The sequence below is a fragment of the Homo sapiens genome, chromosome 8 (assembly GCF_000001405.40).
Source record: "Homo sapiens chromosome 8, GRCh38.p14 Primary Assembly".
NCBI classification, from domain to species: domain Eukaryota; kingdom Metazoa; phylum Chordata; class Mammalia; order Primates; family Hominidae; genus Homo; species Homo sapiens.
This window is the reverse complement of record NC_000008.11, coordinates 43,458,747-43,460,755: the sequence shown is the minus strand read 5'-3', so window position 1 is coordinate 43,460,755 and position 2,009 is coordinate 43,458,747.

Here is a 2,009-nt window from a genome sequence, read left to right as displayed (position 1 = left end):
AATAAGGGGAATGGCATAAATGATCTCTTAAACCTTCATGTACTCACTAATGACAAGTGCTATTCACTGGTGTATTCCAATGGTCAATACAGTCCCTGTCGCTGTGTAGAATACACTTATACCAGAAGATGGACATTGAAAAAATTGCAAAAATAAAAAATATAAAAATTCAGAGAGGTATTTTAACATACTGTTGTAACATCTACCCTGAGGAACTAGATAAGGTCTTCCAGAAAAAAATGATGTTTCAAGCCTAAAGTTGAAAATCTAGTTTAAAGTTAAATAAGGATAAAGTGGAGAGGTAAAATGGGAGGTGCAGAAATATGTATTTTTATGTAGAGTAAATAACATGGTTGAGAATCACAGACATGCCTTATCAAATTATTTCACACATGTATGTCCTCCATTCCTATATACTTTTAATTTCAGAATAAATAAGATTTTCTTTTGCACTTTTTTGGTGTGTGCCATGATGTCCATCATAGTGCTGGGCACCTGGCATTCATTAAAAAGCATTCTTATTGAATGCATTATGCCCTTTTAGTCTTATTGCATACTTACTCTTTCAGCACTGAGGTCAAGAATAATTCATGGGTGAAAAAAGTTGGTGCAAGGAACAACAGTAAACGTCTTTTCAAATTGTGGGGTCTTGTCATTATTCACCTGAATCCAGAAAATAAAAAAATTTCCTGGGGCTCTGTGTTCCAAGATGGCCGAATCGGAACAGCTCCAATCTACAGATCCCAGCATGAGCGACGCAGAAGATGAGTGATTTCTGCATTTCCAACTGAGGTACCGGGTACATCTCACTCGGGCTTGTCAGACAGCAGGACAGTGGGTGCAGCCCACTGAGCATGAGGCGAAGCAGGGTGAGGCATCACCTCATCCAGGAAGCACAAGGGGTCAGGGAATTCCCTTTCCTAGCCAAGGGAAGTGGTGATGGACAGCACCTGGAAAATCCGGTCACTCCCACCCGAATACTGCGCTTTTCCAACAGTCCTGGCAAGCGACACACCAGGAGATTATATCCCATGCCTGGCTCGGAGGGTCCTATGCCCACAGAGCCTGGCTCACTGCAAGCACAGCAGTCTGAGATCAAACTGCAAGGTGGCAGTGAGGCTGGGGGAGGGGTGCCCGCCATTGCCGAGGCTTGAGTAGGTTAACAAAGTGGCTGGGAAGCTCGAACTGGGTGGAGCCCACAGCAGCTCCAGGAGGCCTGCCTGCCTCTGTAGATTCCACCTCTGGGGACAGGGCATTGCCAAACAAAAGGCAGCAGAAACCTCTGCAGATATAAATGTCCCTCTCTGACAGCTTTGAAGAGAGTAGTGGTTCTCCCAACATGCAGCTGCAGATCTGAGAATGGACAGACTGCCTCCTCAAGTGGGTCCCTGACCCCCGAGTAGCCTAACTGGGAAGAACCCCCCAGTAGGAGCAGACTGACACCTCACACGGCCAGGTACTCCTCTGAGACAAAACTTCCAGAGGAAAGATCAGGCAGCAACATTTGCTGTTCACCAATATCCACTGTTCTGCAGCCTCCGTGCAAACAGGGTCTGGAGTGGACCTCCAGCAAACTCCAAGAGACCTGCAGCTGAGGGTCCTGACTGTTAGAAGGAAAACTAACAAACAGAAAGGACATCCACACCAAAACCCCATCTGTATGTCACCATCATCAAAGACCAAAGGTAGATAAAACCACAAAGATGGGGAAAAAACAGAGCAGAAAAATTGGAAATTAAAAATCAGAGTGCCTCTCCTCCTCCAAAGGAATGCAGCTCCTCGCCAGCAATGGAACAAAGCTGGATGGAGAATGACTTTGATGAGTTGAGAGAAGAAGGCTTCAGATGATCAAACTAATCTGAGCTAAAGGAGGAAGTTTGAACCCATGGCAAAGAAGTTAAAAACCTTGAAAAAAATAGACAAATGGCTAACTAGAGTAACCAATGCAGAGAACTCCTTGAAGGACCTGATGGAGGTGAAAACCAAGGCAAGAGAACTACGTGATGAAA